This window comes from Homo sapiens, chromosome X (genome assembly GCF_000001405.40).
Source record: "Homo sapiens chromosome X, GRCh38.p14 Primary Assembly".
NCBI classification, from domain to species: Eukaryota; Metazoa; Chordata; class Mammalia; order Primates; family Hominidae; genus Homo; species Homo sapiens.
Window position 1 is genome coordinate 38170601 of NC_000023.11, and position 19054 is coordinate 38189654.

General features: G+C 40.9%; 1 protein-coding gene across 7 annotated transcripts in view; it reads right to left on the minus strand.

Annotated features, from left to right (window-relative positions):
- SRPX (sushi repeat containing protein X-linked) overlaps nt 1-19054 on the minus strand; it is a 71533-nt gene that overhangs the window by 21262 nt on the left and 31217 nt on the right. For 3 of the 7 annotated variants that reach the window (NM_001170752.2, NM_006307.5, XM_017029893.3), the window contains exons 2-4: nt 7685-7744; nt 3560-3751; nt 1281-1457 (exon numbers count right to left, since the gene is read on the minus strand). In NM_001170752.2, coding sequence (NP_001164223.1) covers nt 1281-1457; nt 3560-3751; nt 7685-7744 — 429 coding nt within the window. The remainder of the gene's footprint in view (nt 1-1280; nt 1458-3559; nt 3752-7684; nt 7745-19054) is intronic. The other 4 variants (XM_047442564.1, NM_001170750.2, XM_047442563.1 and 1 more) reach the window with 2 other exon arrangements.

Sequence of the window (19054 nt, forward strand, 5' to 3'; positions counted from 1 at the left end):
GCCTGAACCTTGTTCTGACAAACTGTAATATGAATCTCCTGAATTTGGGGTTCATTCTCTCTTCCTCTGGGAAGGTTCCAGGCGCATCTGGTCCAGCTTAAGACATGCTGTTGGTTTTTGAGAACAATCAGCATTTTCTTTCCATTGTTGCACACAATCTGGAAATTTAAACAGTATGATCCCTAGAGTACTCTGCCAAAGCTTGCTTAGCAGAAAGATTTTTGAGCTTCTCTCCTCCCACCATCACCTCTGCCCCTTCCAATATGAGGGAGTAGATTCAATTTTCTTTTTGGTTTGTTTTGAAGAGCTATGCACATAGCTAATCACAGGGAGGATATTGAAAGCAACATCTGTGAGGTGCCCCCTGTGGGCAGTGTTACTGGCACTTAGTGAATAAAATCCAAGGATGCTGCTAAACATCCTGCAAACAAAAAAAACAGGGCTCCACAACAAAGAATTATTTGGCCCCAAATGTCCATCATGCTGAGGTTCAGAAACTTTGCCCTAAAGCATCGTTTAGCAGAATCCTAGGACCCACCGCAGACCTGCTGAATTTAAATCTGCATTTTTCCCAAGGTCCCTAGAGGACTTCGCTGCACAGTAAAGTTTGAGAAGCAGTGCCTTAGATCAGTAGCTCTCTATTTGAGTGCCTCACAATCCCTGGAATGCTCATTAAAAAACAAAATGCTGTGCCTGACCCCTAAAGTTTCTGACTCAGCAGGTGGTGGGGGTGGGTTGGTAAAAATTTGCATTCTTAGACCAGGAGATGCTACTGCTGCTTCTGCTCCCAGGACCACACCATGGGAACCACTCACTGCCCAACAAACCCAGAGTAAGGCAAAATATCCAAATCCCTTCCAGCTGAACAAATTGAGTGCTTGCTGACCACCAGAGTCAATGACAAAGAAGCTACATTGGGGCTGAAAGACACATAGATGTTCTCTACTGGACTGTCCCTATAGTGTCAATAACTTTGCTCAGGCCCCCGAACTAAAATCAGCAGGAGTATGCCACATCTCTGCCAGCCTGTAGTTGCCTCAATAGCAAACCAAGAAAAAGACAAAAGTCAGATGGAAGCCATCAGCTACGAAGTCAGCTCCAGGATAGACACTGAGGTTAGATCTAGGGCTGAGCCAGAGAACCAGTGATGCTACTGAGAGCAAAGTTGCATGCTTAGGCCTTACAGGAGGAATAGTGATGCTCCCTTTACAATCCACGATGTGAACACCCCCTGCTCCTCCCAAAGCAAGTGCCTCCTAAGGGCTGTGGCATTTTCTTACCCACACAGGAGGCTGGCCGGCCGCTCCAGGCCTTGTTGTCCATACATGTGACGGTCCGCTCCCCTTTCAACGTGTATCCTGGTGAACAATAATACTCACACCGGGAGTTAAAGTAGGCACCATCTACACACTTAAACCCTCCATTTGCTGGCATGGCAAGGGTAGGACATCGCTTTTCTGAAAATGAGAAAATCAGATATTCAGCATTTCTTAGTTTTTGTCTATAGAGTTTCATTTCAGAGTCTAGAAACTCTGAAAGCATGAGGTGAAAAGTTAATTTAAATATAAGAAGGCCAGGCGCAGTGGCTCACTCCTGTAATCCCAGCACTTTGGGAGGTCGAGGCAGGTGGATCACCTGACTTCGGGAGTTCGAGACCAGCCTGACCAACATGGAGAAACCCCATCTCTACTAAAAGTACAAAATTAGCCAGGCGTGGTGGCGCATGCCTGTAATCCCAGCTACTCGGGAGGCTACGGCAGGAGGATCGCTTGAACCCAGGAGGCAGAGGTTGCGGCGAGCTGAGATTGCGCCATTGCGCTCCAGCCTGGGCAACAAGAACACGACTTTGTATAAATAAATAAAACAAATGGAATTTAAGAAACAATGGATGGTTTTATGTCACACAGAAGACACAAAGTTTCCTGTCACACTGGCTTGGGTTGGCAACCCAGCTAAGCCACTATCTTAGGTTGAGCTCCCCAGAAGCAGATTCTGAGATACGGATTTATGTGCATGAGGTTTAGTAAGAAAGTGCTCCCAGGGAGACTAGTGAGGGGGTGAGGAAAGCAGAACAGGGAAGGGGAGAAATCCAGGCAAGATGAGATCTCAGGCAAAGTCAGCAGCAGCCTGATCCCATAGGGAAGCTCTGGAGTGTGAATGACAGCTCATTCTGTCCTGCCCCCAGGCAAGGAAGCTGGGCTTTCATAATTCTTTATCAGTCAGTCATTGGGCAGCTACAGGCTGCTCACAGGAGATGCTTTCTCTTGTGAAAAGAGAACGAGAGTGAGAGAGTGAGAGAGAGAGAGAGCGAGTGGGATCAGTCCTCTGAAGGAGCAGTCTTCTGAATAAGGTTGAAGTTCCAAGTCTTTAAGAGCAAAGTACTCAGAAGCTGGGTACTGGATACATACAACTAGTAAAAGGCATCGAGGAGATCTGGGTAGAGCAGATTGTCCACTACAGTCACCCAGTTGCAGAGTCTGCATAGTCTCGATGACATGGCTGCAGCCTTGAAACCTCAGTTTCCCTGACAATGAAGTTAACATAATGGCACCCATATTGATAGTGTTACTGTAAAAATCAAATGTATGTGAAATTCTTGGCAAACCATAAGCGCTCAAAAAGTGGTGGCTGTTTTGAATACCAAAGACATCTAAAATGTGCTTCAACAATGCTGTACCACTTGCAATTTTCCAAATGAGGTATGACTTGTCATGAAGCTAAAAGCCAGCCCCTGAAATGCTGCTCCTCTAAGCTTCTCCCTTGAGGCACACTCACTTTCATAAATAAGCATCACTTCTTCTGTGACTCTTTCCTGCCTCCCTAAGCCCCACTCCTTGGGAGAACACTTTTTTTTTCTTTTTTTTTAAGAGATGGAGTCTTGCTCTGTCACCCAGGTTGGAGTGCAGTGGCACAATCTCGGCTCACTACAACCTCCGCCTCCCGGGTTCTAGCAATTCTCCTGCCTCAGCCTCCTGAGTAGCTGGGATTACAGATGCACGCTGCCACACCCAGCTAATTTTTTGTATTTTAGTAGAGATGGGGTTTCACCGTGTTGCTCAGGCTGGTGTCGAACTCCTGAGCTCAGGCAACCCACCCGCCTCGGCCTCCCAAAGTGCTGGGATTACAGGCATGAGCCACTGCGCCCAGCCAGGAGAACTCTTCTTTAATCTGCTACCATATGTCCCTGACTTTGTACCCTTCTTGTACTTATCTCCCAGTTGACACCTCTGCCTTACTAAAGCCTCTTCATGGCAGGACCCATGTGCGTCTTATTTGTTTCTAAATCCCCAACACCTCTTCAGGATCCAGCACTAACTGAACAAATGTAACTCATTTTCTGAACAATGATCTTCTCTCCCCTTTTCTCAAACAGCTGATCATATCATTCTCTCTGAGAGGAGCCAACTCACTTCCACCATATCTTAGAATCCCCCTGGTGTCCCCCTGATCATAAGGAGAATTTTTCTCATCAATATTCAGTGAAAATCCTCAATCTCAGAGCAAAAGAACTTTGGCTCTGGTCATCCCTGAGGACCCAACACAGAGCTGGCCTACTCACGTTTGCAGATGACCTTGTCAGACCATCGTTTGTTTGACTGGCAGATCAGTAGGGAAGAGCCATGCAGCTCGTAGCCCTTCTGGCAGCGAATGTCGCACCTGGTTCCCAGGGCTGTTTTGTAGTATCCTCCTTGAGGGGCCCTGCAGTACACATCCCCATACTTCACCTTGATGGGGGAGCACCACGGGGTATCTACAAGTAGCAGAAACAAAAGAGGAGATAAATATGAAATGACACTTTCAGAAAATGTGTCCCCTTACTCTTACTGTCCCAGGCTGGCTACATTCCAAATTTTGGACCTTCAATTAGTGCCCCATGTTTTCTTAGGTGTCTCCGGGTAGGGAGGTTATGATCATGGGACTAAGTGTCAGATATATCTGAACATGAATCTGAGTTCCTCTATAACTGACTGTGTGATCTTAGACAAGTTAGCTAACCTCTCTGAGTCAATATCTATACTTATGCCATAGTGCTGTTACAAGGACGAAATAAAAATTGCATATCAAGCATCTAGCACAGTACCTAGCATATATGTTCAATAAATGCTTGTTCTTTTTAGTATTTCCCTTAACTAGATACATAAGATTTTTTATTTTTATTTTTTAGATAATTCTTTCAAGGGCAACTGATGTCATACATAGCGGTAGGGATTCAATAATTGGTTAATTTGGATTTCGTCTGAGCCGTATGCACATTCTCTCTAAAATGTTGTAATACTGGCATTAATCTAAATGATGCTACAATTTCCAGGTGTTTGTAACAAGATATAAATTTCGCTTAAAGTCACAGAACAATTGCTCTCCATAGAGAAGTGTCCCCAGTTATGCCCCATTTACGTAACAGGGTGACACCCTCCCCAGATGGCAAAGTTGCAGGTGTTTTGATTTTGGTCTCATAGTTGCCCAAAGCACAGCTGGGATGAAATGAATAAATCAGAACCTCCCTGCTGTGCTTTTGAAATGTTCTCTTTGAGATCCATAAAATATAAGGGCAACACTAGCTCCTTGGTGGATAAGTTCCTACAGCAGCCACTGCCCCATTGTCCCACAATTGATGGGGAACAGTGAGGAGTTCCCTAAAGCCTGCCGGGCTCTCAATGCCATGAATAGGAGCCACTTCCCTGCAACTGCCTGGCTCATCACTCCAACCCAGCACCTGAGCTGTCAGTGAGTGAGGTAAGACCGCCATCATGTGGCCAGGAAGGAGGACAGACCCTGTTTTACTTTCCCAGGAATTCTCTTCTGAGGATATGCCTCCAACTGCTTCTCAGTTACAAAAACCAACAGTTCTGGCCACGTCTTATGCATAGACCACTGTTTTAGTTTTGCCTTCACATTTCCTTCAGCTAATACTTTCTCTTTTTTTTTTCTTTTTTAGAAACAGGGTCTCACTCTGTCACCCAGGCTGGAGTGTAGTGGCATGATCATTGCTCACTGCAGTCTCGGCCTCCTAGGCTCAAGTGATCCTCCTGTCTCAGCTTCCCAAGTAGCTGGAACTACAGGCACGCACCACCGTCCCTGGTCTGGCTAATACTTTCGTCATATCATGTTTTGCAGACAGCTGCAAGTGAGCCCTAAACTCAAGACTCAAGTAATCTTCCCTGGACTTTCTAGGTAAAGGTGATGTCCTAAAGGCTTAACCTAGAGCTGATTAAATTTAACCATGTGGATATAAACGTGTAGGAGCTCACACAAGGCCTAAAGAACTTCCTTGAATAAATTTTCCTTCCTCTAAGGGTTTTAATATAATCTGTATGTACTACATATATTTGTGATATACAGTACTCCCCCTTTGCCCACGGGGGATATTGGATGCCTGAAGCCTTGGATAGTACCTAACGCTATATATACTGTTTGTTTCTTACACAAACATACCTATGATGAAGTTTAATTTATAAATTAGGCATGATAAAAGATTAACAACAACTAATAATAATATAGAACAATTATAACAATATACTGTAATGAAAGTTAGGTGAATGTACTGTCTCTCTCTCAAAATATCTAATATTTTGGGGCTGCGGTTGACTGAAGGTAAATGGAACCTTGGAAAGTGAAACCGCAGATAAGGGGGAACTAATGTATGTATATATATGACCTGCATACTCATACATCACAAACTCACTCAATTAATATGAATATATGATGGTATTCCAAGCAAAAGAATCAAAAGCCATGCTTGCCACATACCAGGAGCACCGTAAATGTTGGTTACATTTAATTTTCTTTCTTATTTTACTTTAATTCAAAAACACTTACTCTGTGCTGGACATTGTGCAGGGGCCTCAGGATCTAAAACTAAACCCTCACTTAATAATGGCTTGTCTCTAGCTTTTAAAATTAAAAAAACTTGGCCAGGTGCAGTGGCTCACGCCTGTAATCCCAGCACTTTGGGAGGCCAAGGTGGGTGGATCACCTGAGGTTAGGAGTTCGAGACCAGCCTGGCCAACATAGTGAAACCCCTGTCTGTACTAAAAATGCAACATTAGCTGGGTGTGGTGGCGTGTGCCTGTAGTCCCAGCTACCTGGGAGGCTAAGATAGGAGAATCGCTTGAACCTGGGAGGCGGATGTTACAGTGAGCCAAGATCACGCCACTGCACTACAGCCTGGGTGACAGGGTGAGACTCCATCTCAAAAAATAATAATAAAAATAAATAAAACTTAAATTTTATTGTATGAAGCGCACAACATGATGCTTTGATATACTTATACATACTGAAATGATTGCTACCAGTAAGCAATTTAACTGACAATAGAAACAATGCCCTAAGAAAATTTATTCTTAAACATTCAGGGTAAGTTCTAGGGCAAGCACACATTTTGGCCATCTGGTCTACCTGTCACATTTGCAATGCTGTGAGGTGAAGATGGATGTGAAGAACAAGGACCTGAGGGCACTAGGCAACCCCTGCTGTAGATGTGAAGGGTCATCTGTGCATGCATGTGTTTTAGGAAGATTTTTCAACAAGGGACTCAAAGAAAAAAAAATCTAAACCCATAAATAGTTAAGAAGTTTTGCGAATTAGAACCTTTCCTTACCCCAAGCATCTGATTAACGTATTTGTGCTTTGCTTGATTGGTTAATTCCTGAGGCTATGGAGATAGAAACTATAGGTAGGAATGAGTATTTGCATTCAGATCTCACAAAAAAATGTGGTATGTGATGGGAAGCACACCTGCACATAAGCACCAGGCACCAGTCATTATATTGGAAATATTGTTCACTTGTGTAGAAAACAACTGAAGGACATCTCCAGTCAAAAGTTGTCCAGTCCTACCCTGATTCTCCTGTATCTGAGACACATCACAACAAACAAGGGCCATGTCCTCATCCCAGGAATTAGGACAAATTTCCAGGGCAAAATGCCGCAGTGAAACTTTGTTAACCATTTTTTTTTTTTTTTCAAATTCTTCCTCCACTGTAAGAGGAACTAGATTCAGAGAGAAAGCATCTCTAAATTTACCTTCATTTCTCCCAGGTTTCCCTAAGCTTCAGAGAAATGTTTCACCAGTAGAAATATTTGTGGACATACTTACCTGAGTCTGGACAGAAGGTTCTTGTTTAGGCTTTTTATACGTGCTGGGGAGTGGATTGCTGGGAATATGTAGAGATGGAGTTCTTTATCATTAAGTTTCATTTGAGCAACATACTTTAACATACCGTTTCAGAAGCCATGCTGGGCTCAGAAAGAGCACGATGAAATGAGCTTATGAAAATCAAGTTTTCTCCTTCCCCATTCATCTTAGTACATTATCAGCACTTGGTCCAGATTTGACCTTAGGTGGTTTACTCTGGATGATTCTGGCTGTAATGTATGAATTAGGCTTGATTTTCACTTTCATCAGCTACAGCTGCCTTTGCAGAAGTGAGGACAGTAAAGAAACTTATGAGAATAAAATGACCATTGGGATGCTGAAAGACAGCATTTCAGAGATTTCCAATGCATTTTGCTTTATTTCCTTTTTTAAAAAAGGGAGTATATATATATATTTTTTTTTCCTTGATAGATAATTAGAACTTAAATGTGTTGTCTGGTCACTTTATTACAATCTGTTTCACAAGGCAAAAAGGAAAGTTCTCCTGGCACCAGCAGGTCCTCATTAGCACATAAGCAAAGCATTCACCTTTATATCTAGGGTGTGAATACCCGACTTCATCGTCTTCTAGTGGTGAGTCTCCCGATCCTACAATAAAAAAGAACAGAAACTGCAGCAAGAAAAGCCACATAGTATGGACGCATATTTCAAAGCATTCCTTTGCCACAGACCATGCAGGAGGTGCTATTAGAATGCAGAGCCAAGAGCAAAAGCTTCTGTGGCCATTCATGAAGGAACAAACAGGAGATCTCTCAGAGTGAAACCGGCTGAGCTGAGATTGCCAAAAACCAAGCAAAATGAGCCTCAAACTGTTTTGGAATCACCATATGCCAAGTGAAATTCTGGAATAGGGAAACAGAGAGAGTCAACTTCACTCTGAGAAGATGCCAATGTATATGAATCTCATGCCAGGGGAGATGCAATAAAATGTGTGCATCAGACACAGTCCACAGTTTCCCCAGCAGTCAAAGAAAACCCAGTAGAACTGGGTGTTTATGGTACCTGAAAACAGGTCCATCTTGTGAAATAAATTTAAATGCAAGATAAGGAGGTAAATCAAATGTCTTATCTTGACAAAAGAAACACAAAGTTGCTTCTATATACAGCATTTGTAGGAAATGAAGGCTGAAATAGACTATCTGTGTGCTTATTTAGAACCTCTCATGAACGTATGGCTCAAGTAAAATTTCTTTTTTTTTTTTTTTTTTTGAGACGGAGTCTCACTCTGTTGCTAGGCTGGAGTGCAATGGTGTGATTTTGGCTCACCGCAACCTCCGCCTCTTGGGTTCAAGGGATTCTCCTGCCTCGGCCTCCTGAATAGCTGGAATTACAGGCATGTGCCACCATGCCTGGCTAATTTTGTATTTTTAGTAGAGACGGGATTTCTCCATGTTGGTCAGGCTGGTCGCGAACTCCCGACCTCAGATGATCTGCCCGCCTCGGCCTCACAAAGTGCTGGGATTACAGGCGTGAGCCACCGTGCCCAGCCAGTAAAATTTCTTAATGAGCGTTGCTACCAATAAAAACCACGGCCTCAGAGAGAACGTCTGTGTATTATTTTAATTTAACTCATTTGCAAGCTGGAGCTGAATGGTTTTTAAAATATTAAATATTGAATTCCAGTGAGCAGTAAATCCTTAATCCTTGAAGTGGTAGCAGATGCCAAACTTCAAAACTGTAATCTTAAATTCAGAGAACTTCCCTCCAGACTTCACAGTCTAATTAATGACTCGAGTTAGCTCTGTCTTGGTCACGCATTTAGTTGTAGTTACTTGCCACCATAACAGACAAGAACATCCTCCACTGTGAGGTTATTCAAATCCCCATGCAGCTAATGAGTAATGGTCCCTGTTCCACTTGTGTTCTGGATGAGAGATGTAGAGTGTGGAAACTGAAAGTGGAGAGGAGATGAGGGCTGGACTGTGTTCATTAGGAAAAGACCCGCAACTACAGAAGCCCAATTCTGTATTTTCCTTTGCTGCAGATTTCCTCACCTTGTCTCTGCACACCCAGATGTGTACAAAATTACAAACTATTCATCATTGCATATAAAAAAATGAGCACTGGAACCAGACACAGTGGCTCATGCCTGTAATCTCAGAAACTAGGGAGGCTGAGTGGGAGAATTACTTGAGCCCAGGAGTTCAAAAAACAGCCTGGATAACATAGTGAGAACCCATCTCAAAAACAAAACAAAACAAAAAACAATGAAAACCAGGAAACCTACCTAACAACATGAATCAAAGGCCTATGCTCAAACCCTTTGATCAAGTCATTCCACTTCTAGGAATCTACCCAAGGAAACAGTTGAACTGCATGTCTGCATGTGAACCTTCAATCATCCAAATTAAAAAAAAATCCAGATACATGAGCAGCAAGCTTTCTCCCCCCGCCCAGCCCTCCAACACACATATACACACATACATATATTTTGCCCTCGGTTGTCATCCTGGTTAACTTGTCTACAGTATTTACAGCATTTAGTATGAATGACTACCCATTCATTTCATGAAGCTCTCTTCTGCAGTGGCTTCCAAATGACAACAGTTTCCCGATTTTCTTCCTCCTTTCTAAACAGACTCTCTGGACAGCACATCTAGATCAGCCTGCCATTTGGACATAAGTATTTCCCAGGAGTCCAGTATTGGTCCTTTACATATCTCCAGACTATTTTCCTGGGCCATCTCACTCCCATACTTGCCTCAAACCATTCCCCATGTACTGATGATAAATCCATTGTTTCTAGCCTTGAACTGTCTCCTAAGAGCCAAGCTAGAATCTTCAACTGTTGTCTGGATATCTCCACACTCACACTCAACCTGCTCAAAACCAGATTCCTTTTCTTATCACCAAATTTGTGCATCCCCCAGTGTTTCCCATTTCAGCAAATAACCATCTTCCAGCTACTCTGCCACATGGAAAATCTCAGCCTTTTTTTCTTCTATCTTCTTCATCTACCACATTCTAAGATAGGAATTAACTTAAATATCCAACTACAAGAAATGGTCAATCATATTATGATCCATTCATAACATAATAATGTTCATTTTGAAGAGGTTTCTTAACATGGGAAAATATTATAGAATGCTGAATGAATAAAGAAAGAAGCATAACCCCCAAAATGCAAAAATGCATTAAGATTTTAAAATATGGCAAAGCTCATGTGTGAGAACAACAATATGGATGAATAAAACTAAAATAATATTGTGAGCAAAGTTGGTCCCAGAAGACTATATACTATATATACGACTCCTTTTTTATAAAGTTCAAAAACTTCTAACACTAAATTGTTGGGAAATACAAAGATATGTACGGTAATTTTTAACAAAGCAAGGAGACCTCTTACCCTTTCCTAATCTTCTCTTCTTGAACAACTGAGTTCTAAGGCCTTTAGAGCAAGGCAGACATCTGTACCAGAAAGGACAGGGAGGCATGGTAGGCCAGAGCAGGATGTCAGAGCCCAAACAGGGCATAGAGGGAAAACAGGGGCAAAGAGAGAATGCACATGGGCAGATAGCCCAGCAGGGGAATCACAGATTAGTAAGATAAGGAGGGCTTTCACATGGGTAAGGCGGAAGAAAGCCTGGCATTGGGTTGAAAAGTACAGTTTCTAGATTCCCTTATCCCTAGGTTGTGAAAGGGTCTACTTTTAGTGATTTGGAAGGAATCAAAGGGAAGGAACTCTTTTCTACAGTTGTGCATGCAGAAAATAGGCTACAGCAGATGTGAGTGTTGTCAACTGTGTCCACTGTCCCCTCATCAGCTTTGTGTGGTAGGGAGGATAGTGACGTTGGCAGTGGTGATAATCACGGCAGCAACAGTTTCCTAGCCTGAGTGATAGGAGGAGTTTCTGGCATCTGGACTGAAGTCATGGTGCCATTTGACCTTTAATGCAGACTTCTTGACTTCCATTGCTCCAGCCCTTCCAATTTTGTGAGTACCTTATTTCCTGCATTAAATCATTTTTTGCATAAAATACCTAGAGAGGATTCTGTTTCCTATATTAAACCTAACAGATATTTAAGCAAACCAATTAAGAAATGAATATATGGTTTTATAGCTTTCTCTTAGTAACTGGACACTACCCTAACACAGGGCACACTGCTTTCTACCCACAAGTCTTTTGTAGATAAGAGAGGGGACTTTTATGTGAACATAGATGAGTAAGGAGGAAAAAAGAAAAAAAAAACCTACTGGAGTCAAACTTACTCTTTTTCCGAATTGGTCTATCTGCTAAGCTAAATGCAATCTGATTTCTGTGCAATTGAATTCACATGGGAAAGGAAATAACACACACTAAGTGCCTATGATATGTGTACTATGCTAGGCAATTTCTATGCACTATCTCATTAAATCTATACAATAACACTGGCCATTTGGTACTATTTTAGATTTATCATTAGGGAAACCAAGTCTCTAACGTCTTTACTTGTCCAAGGTTATGCAGCCAGTAAATGGTAAATCAGGGATTCGAATCCTGTCTGCCTGGCCTTCAAATCTATCATTCTTTTTTCACTAGGCCTTACTGCCTTCTGCGCCTACAATTTCAAAGAAATGAGATAGCTGGCTTTGGGATCACTGATAGGCAAACAGCAAATGGCTTCTTCAGTAGTGTGAGAACAAATATGCCAAGAGTGGGTCCCACAGAAGCAAAATGAAGAATCCATGTGTAGCAGAAGCTGCTGGTTGCCTGTCCAGCAGCCATTCTCCCCTTCCTTCTTACTAAAAGATCACAGGTTGTGTTCAGCAGCAATGTGTCCCTCCCCAAACGATGAACCATGATGACTCTTAAGTCAAAAAATTAATTCCCCTTTGCCAGGAATTGCTCCAGGGATAAGCATGTAACCCAATATTGGACAATGGCAAGTAAAATGAAGTCTGCTTAGGGGCAGGGGGAGGGAGCTTATGGGAAAGATTTTTCTCCCTGATAAAAGAGAAAACTGCGCAAGGAGAAGACTTTTCCCTCTTTTCTGCCTTTCAGCTTTGGAGGCTATTGTGTAAGGATAAACGTCTGAAGCTGGAGCAGCCATTTTGCAACCACAAGGTAAGATGTCACAGGACTAAAGATTTTCAGTTGAGGATGGCAAAGTGGATAGATAAAAAGAACCCAGGACCTTGGATGATGTCACCAGACTACAACATCAACCTTATACATCTTACCTCCACAATTCTTGTTAGGTCAACAATAAATATCCTTTCAATTTAAGCCACTGTGAATAGCACTGTTTGTTACATGCAACTGTATGCATATAAACTGATACACAAATGAATGAAAACTTTACTGCATATTCTTGATAGATTTTTTTTTTTTTTTTGAGACAGGGTCTCGCTCTGTTGCCCAGGAGGGAGTGTAGTGGTATGATCCCGGCTTACTGCAGCCTCCATCTCCTGGGTCCAAGAGATTCTCGTGCCTCAGCCTACTGAGTAGCTGGGATTACAAGCATGCACCACTACGCTCAGCTAATTTTTGTATTTTTACTAGAGACAGGGTTTCACCATGTTGGCCAGGCTGGTCTCGAACTAGTGACCTCAAGTGATCTGCCCGCCTGGGCCTCCCAAAGTGCTGGGATTACAGGCATGAGCCACTGCCCTCAGCCTTGATAGGTGTTTTTTAAGTGAAAAGAAAATAAATGGGTATTAGCTGCCACTCTCAGAAAATTTCCAGTTTATTTTCAGCCTGAGCTCATATATTAACTTCTATAAAAATATGATGACTAGTCTGCAAAATAGACACCCTGAAAGATACAATAAGCTCGAAGACAGACTCACTTATGTTCAGTAGACTGTACTTACTAAAGCAGCAGAGGAGCTTTATGTACATTGGGGAAAGATTTTCCCCACCATTAAAATTTTTCAAAAGGAAGAAAAATAGAGAAAGAAGTTGGGGAGGATGGGAGAAGGGAGGTTTCTTAGTAAACTTTCCTTTATTTATAAAAGGCTATCCCTCTAGAATTCTGCTAATTGAGGTTTTATTATGACATAACTATTAATCAGTCTACATATGGTTCAGATTACCACTCTGGAAAGAATGCTTCAGTGCTTCTTCCACACAAATACAAATTGTACGTTGGCTCAGAAATCAGAAACTCAGAGCCATGTAGGATTCTGTCTCTCAGCCATACCTGGAGCCAACTGCATTTATAATTTTGCTCTCCTTGCAAAAACTTTCTCTAATTCAACAGATTTTCAAAGAAATAGCCACTCTTTTTTTTTCCAAAGTTCAAATTAGGGTCTTCCTGGCCTATGGAACCCCACCCATTCATTCTGAATGTCCAGGTAGATAAGATCATCGAGGCACCAAAGTCACTCTTAAATAATACTTATTATATGTATTGAAATTACATCAGGAGACTAGATTTCTGAAGGCTAGTAGAGTGTTCCTGCTATCACGCCATAAGGTTTCTCACCGTAAGGTAGGGATGTGGTAGAGATTTAAGACTAATGGAAAACTTGGCAAATTTGCTAAAACTACATAGTTCTTTATTGATTATGATACCTGACCCAAATTGGTAGATTTGCTGGCTCTGTATTATATTTTTAGCTCAAAGTGTTGGGTTTATTTTTTAGTCATTTTGAAGACAGTTCTTCATTCTTTACATTTTGTTTCTCCCTTCATCATTATTCTAGACATAATTTTAATATTGTCAGAAAGAAGCATATTTAATAGTAAATTGCACCATCAATTTTATACTGAAAGTCAATGGGAAAATAAAATTTACTTTGCAGTAGGGATTCTTAACCTGAGGATCATGGCCTACTACAGAATTAATGAAAGGGCTTTGGAGGGCCCATGAACCCCTTGTAATTGAACATGTTTTTTGGTACATGCTTTTGATACATGCCTTTTGGTACTAGCATGCTTTTTCTAGGGGAAAAAGATGTTAGCTTTCAGTAGATTTTAATAAATTTTAAAAGCCATGGTCTTACAGCATTCTTTATTGTTAAGCATGTTAGAATATTTACTGAAGAAGCATGTAGTGTCCTTCTTTTTGATATTTAACTCATTTTAGTGTTGGGGAGAGAGAAGCAAATATGTTTTTAAAAAGGATAAATGCTTATCATACTGGTTTCTTCTAGATTAGTGCTGTCCAATGCAACTTTCTGCAATGATGGAAATATTCTTTATCTGTACTGTCAAATACGGCAGCCACTAGTCCTATGTGGTTATTAAGCATTTAAAATGTGGCTAGTAAAACAAGAGAAGTGAATGTTTTTATTTCATTTAATTTTAGTTAATTTAAATTTACATTTAAATAGCCACATGTGGTTAATAGCTACCATACTGGATAGCACAGGCCTAGACCTAACTTTTTAAAAGTATTCTATGGAGATAAATCATGTCTATAAATTGCTCAGGGGTGGGAACTATGTCTAATTTACCTTGTATACCCAGTATATGATTTGGAATTGGTAAAAATGTTGGAGAAAAAAGAGAAAAATCTGCCTTAAATTTCTTGTGACACATAAATTATGTCCTCATGCTTATAATTTTGGATGGTTTTATTCTAATCAGTCCAGCTTCCGTATATAAATTTAAACTGTGACAATACTGCAGATTTGGATGTTTACAAAAGGGTATTTTGTACTATTGGAAGCCATAGGGTGTTTATTTGTGGGAGCCAGATGATTTAGTGCTAACAAATGATCTGCCAATGGATTACAGAGCAGCTGTGGTACAGTATGAAGGACATTTGAATAGCTTCTGAACAAAGATCAAATCCAAGGCATTGCCAGAAAAACATGATTTAAAGATGAAGGCAAAATTACGGCTGTAAAATCCTTTGTTAAATCAAGGTAGTGCCTTAAAGTACCTTCAGTCTTACAAAAGGCCCCTTAGAGAGATTAAGGGTATCTCAAGTTCCTCTCAATCAAACAGAGAAGAGTCTATATCTATGAGATTTGTAAGGTGGCTAATAGGGTGAACTTTTGTCTAATAGAGTGAATTCTAAGAAGATTCACAGGAGACCCACAAAATTCTTAAAAGAGTTATATATGCTGAAATATCACTAGCTTGACTTAGGAAGGCAGAGACATTAAGGAATAAGGAGAGGTCTTTGATCCCCTACAATTATACTGTCAGAAAGCAGGCTCAGTGAGCTGCTTAGCTGTGAATAGATGCTATTTTTCTAAAAAAAAAAAAAAGGGGGGGGGGAGTGAGTATATTTTGCATGTTGGTGGGAAATAATCACTGGGTGCCAGAGGGTAGACTCTGATATGCAGCTTCTAAGATGGCCCCCAATTATCCCTGTCCCCTGGCATTCATAACCTTTTGTAACTCCTCACTTTAAGTGTGGAATGAATTTATTAACTTGCTTCTAATGAATAAATTTTGGCAGAAGGGACACCATATCTCTTTTGAAGTCAAGTTATAAAAAGACTGTGGTGTCCATCTTGAATACTGTCTCACACTCTCTCTCTTGGATCACTCATTCCGGGTCAAGTTAGCTGCCAAGTCATGAGGGCGCCCTGTGGAGTGGCCCATGTGTTGAGGGACCAAAAGCCTGCCAACAATAACATAAGTAAGGTTATAAGAAGATCTCCCCAGCTACACACACACATAACACCCACAAGTCGAGCCATCAGATGAAACTGCAGGCCAAGCCAATAACTTGCTTGCAACCTCATGAGAGACCTTGAGCCAGCTAAACCATGCCCAGATCCTGACTTATAAAAATTCTAACATAATAAACAGTATTTGTTTTTAAAACAAAAGGAGGAAAAGGTGTAGGAAGAGTAGAAAGTACAAAAGGAGGAAGGGAAAAAGAAAGGGCATTTGCCTTAAAGTCAGAAGATTCTGATGTACCTCTCAGCCTTGGTTTAATAGTCTTCTCTTAGGTCACTGCGGTAGATACTGCTTATTCCTCAATCAGATCCCCTTTACTCAGGCTGGTGTGCCCATCTCCTAGCTGCTGGGAGCCTTTGACTGCAAATAACTCACAGTTGCCCTCTTCTCCAGAGAATTGTCCTCAGCTGATAGGAGCCACTTCTTCCTCCCCACCTGTTTCCTGGAGGCAGCCAATGTTTGATTGATATGGAGGAACATGAAGCCAGACTTCTAGCCCCCAAAGGTGAGTGGAAGGACAACCTTGCAGTATTTATGTTTCTAAGAACCCTGTGGTGCTAGAATTTACCTGAGACTCTATCCTTGCTTAGCTCTTTCTTGCTTCCCTTCCTCAATTATAGGTTTTTTTCCTGAGAGTATTCCCTCAACAAACCATAAGCTTTGCTTCTAGGAAACCAAGCTAAGAGAGCCACTGAGTCTCTCTAAGCCTCAAATACCCCAATTAGGCATGCCTCAACAGGGTTGCCATAAATTAAATGGCATAATATATATGTTTTAGTTTTACAAGTTTCTAATTTGAGGGTTCATAATCACATTTTCTACTTAATTATGTGAGTATAAATTGAAGGCCTCCACATCCCTGAGCTGCTGTGTAAATGAGTTTCTTGAAAAAATGTAAAAATATGACAAACTTATATCTGGCATGATATACTTTTTAAAGTTTAAGCATGAAACATGGTCAAGAATCTCAGTGCTTCCAAAGTTTTCTGTGTGTTTTTTAAAATTCCTCTAACAATCCTGTATGATTTGTGATTTAGAAAATCTTTCATAAACATATGTATATGTATTCATCTTAATAACCACCAGGAAAAGCCATACAGTCAATCTTTTTCAGAAAAGTAAACTGTTGTCAAGTTTACTCTATGAGTTCAGATGATCCAGATAATAAAATTTGCTTTAGGAAAAAGTGATTTTTAGGCTCAAGACATTACCATAGTTTACACTTTGAGGTAGGAAAAACCCTGTGGTTCCCTATATGCCTTTATGACTTAAAAACATTTACAAAATGGGGACTCACCAAAAGTTATTTTATTGCTGAAAGGTGCTATTGCCGGGTCTCTTGTATTCTTGAAGCTCTTGTTAACACAGGTGAGTGTACAAACATTTCTAGTGACAGAAATGGGCTAACAAAGGGCCTGTCCATAGCTTGTGTGGACACAGGTACAGTGGTAACCCTTCTCTCCTCCATAGCTAAATCTGCAGAAGCTTCTCTTCTGGAAAGTCCTAATTTATGGGGGCTTTTGAAGAAGCCCAGAAGTCAGTTCCGTATGCCTGACTAGCAGGCAAGATCTATTCTGTTATATCTTGGCAAAGTTTCAACAGAGGAGAGATGTCCAGGAGTTGTGTGTAAAGGTGTATATGTTTGAAGGAGTAGAGCGAAAAAGAAACTTTAGCTTTTCAGAGCACCAGCTTCAACCCCAAGATGAAGGCTCAGAACAAGTACACAGAGAACCAGGATCTGTAAATGAGACATTCTTCCTTGGATTCCTTACATCCCTAAATAAGTGGCAGACTAATAGATAAAAGCGCAAGAGTAAGAAAAGAGGGGAAATACACAGAGGAAGATTCTTGTTCCAAATGGAACAAAGGGATCCAGAAAGATTAGTCTAAACCTTTTGCTAATCATGGGGAATGAACTGAAGAAAATGTTTATTACCAGTGCTTTTCTTGTGGCAGAAGATTCAACAGAATGTTCAGATGAAACAAGTTTATAGGACATATCAGACATTCAGCTTACCAAATCCCTGTCTTTACTACCATCATAAGTGCCTCAGCGATACCAACCATCAACTAAGAATAGTATGTTTCAAACTGTTGACCCCATTTAGTAGGTCATGACTAGTATTTTTGTAGTGAAATAGAATTGAAAATGTCAGGGTGCACTGCACATATAAAGAATAAACCTTACTTTGTACAATTTTTGTTTTTATATAGGTGTATGTGTGGTAGGGTATCCCCAGTTTGCATAGCACAGTCCCATTTTATGCCTGTTGTCCCAGCATTACTTTTTCAGCTTTACTGGGGTATAATGGGCAAAATTATATATATTTAAGGTTTACAACATGATGTTTTGAAATACGTATCCATTGTGATATAATCACCATAATCAAGCTAATTAACATATCCATCACCTCACATGGTTACCATCTAACATTATTATTAATAGCATTCTCTTTCACACTCAAAACCTTCCTGATTTGTACAATAAATAATATATTCACTCTAACAATAGGTCACAGTAGAATATATTTCTTCCTGTGGGTCTTGTCAAAAGTATTAGAAAAACAGTGATTTAAATACTTTGAAAACCTACATTTGTTAAGTTAATTCGGTTTCCTCCCTCAGAATGAAGGAATCTGAAAATCTGAGAAAGCCTTTGGGGGATCGGTGGTAGAAGTCTACTTTTATCTGATTTGTTCAGGGCATAGATGTTATATCCCATGAAACAGCAAGCAGACACTGAGTTTCCTCAACTGCTCATGGCCATCCTCTCTGGTAGGATGCAACTGAAAAAGCCCTGGGATTAAGTTCCAGTGCCATCCTGATTTGGGAAGCCACTTTTCTTTCCTGAGCCTCAGTTTGCTCATCTGTAAAATGGGACACCAGAAGTGTTTAGAAGGGCATAGTACCTGTTTTCAAATTATGTTACCCTAGAACACTCCCATCCTCAACCTCTAGCTGGGACAACAGCAGTCAAGCAAATCAAATTGCCCTCCTCCTTCTACACCTGGCAATAAACAAATTACCATGGCACATCATTTTAAAAATCTGCCTGGTCTTTCATTTCCATTGCCTCTTTAAGTCCTCAGTGCAACCTTATGAGGCAGGTATCATTCAGTGACTAGAATGTAAACCTGGGGAGGGCAACAACTCTTTGACACTTTGTTTATGATTGTATTCTCAGCTCAGAGAATGAAGTGATTATCAGTTATAGGAGAACAAGGATTGAACTTTTCTGATTCTAAATCTCATGCAATTTCACTCCTTGTTTCTGTCTTCATGACTCAGAAACCTACCTGAAAGCCCTTTCCCTCCTCTCAGTTCCTTTCTTGTGT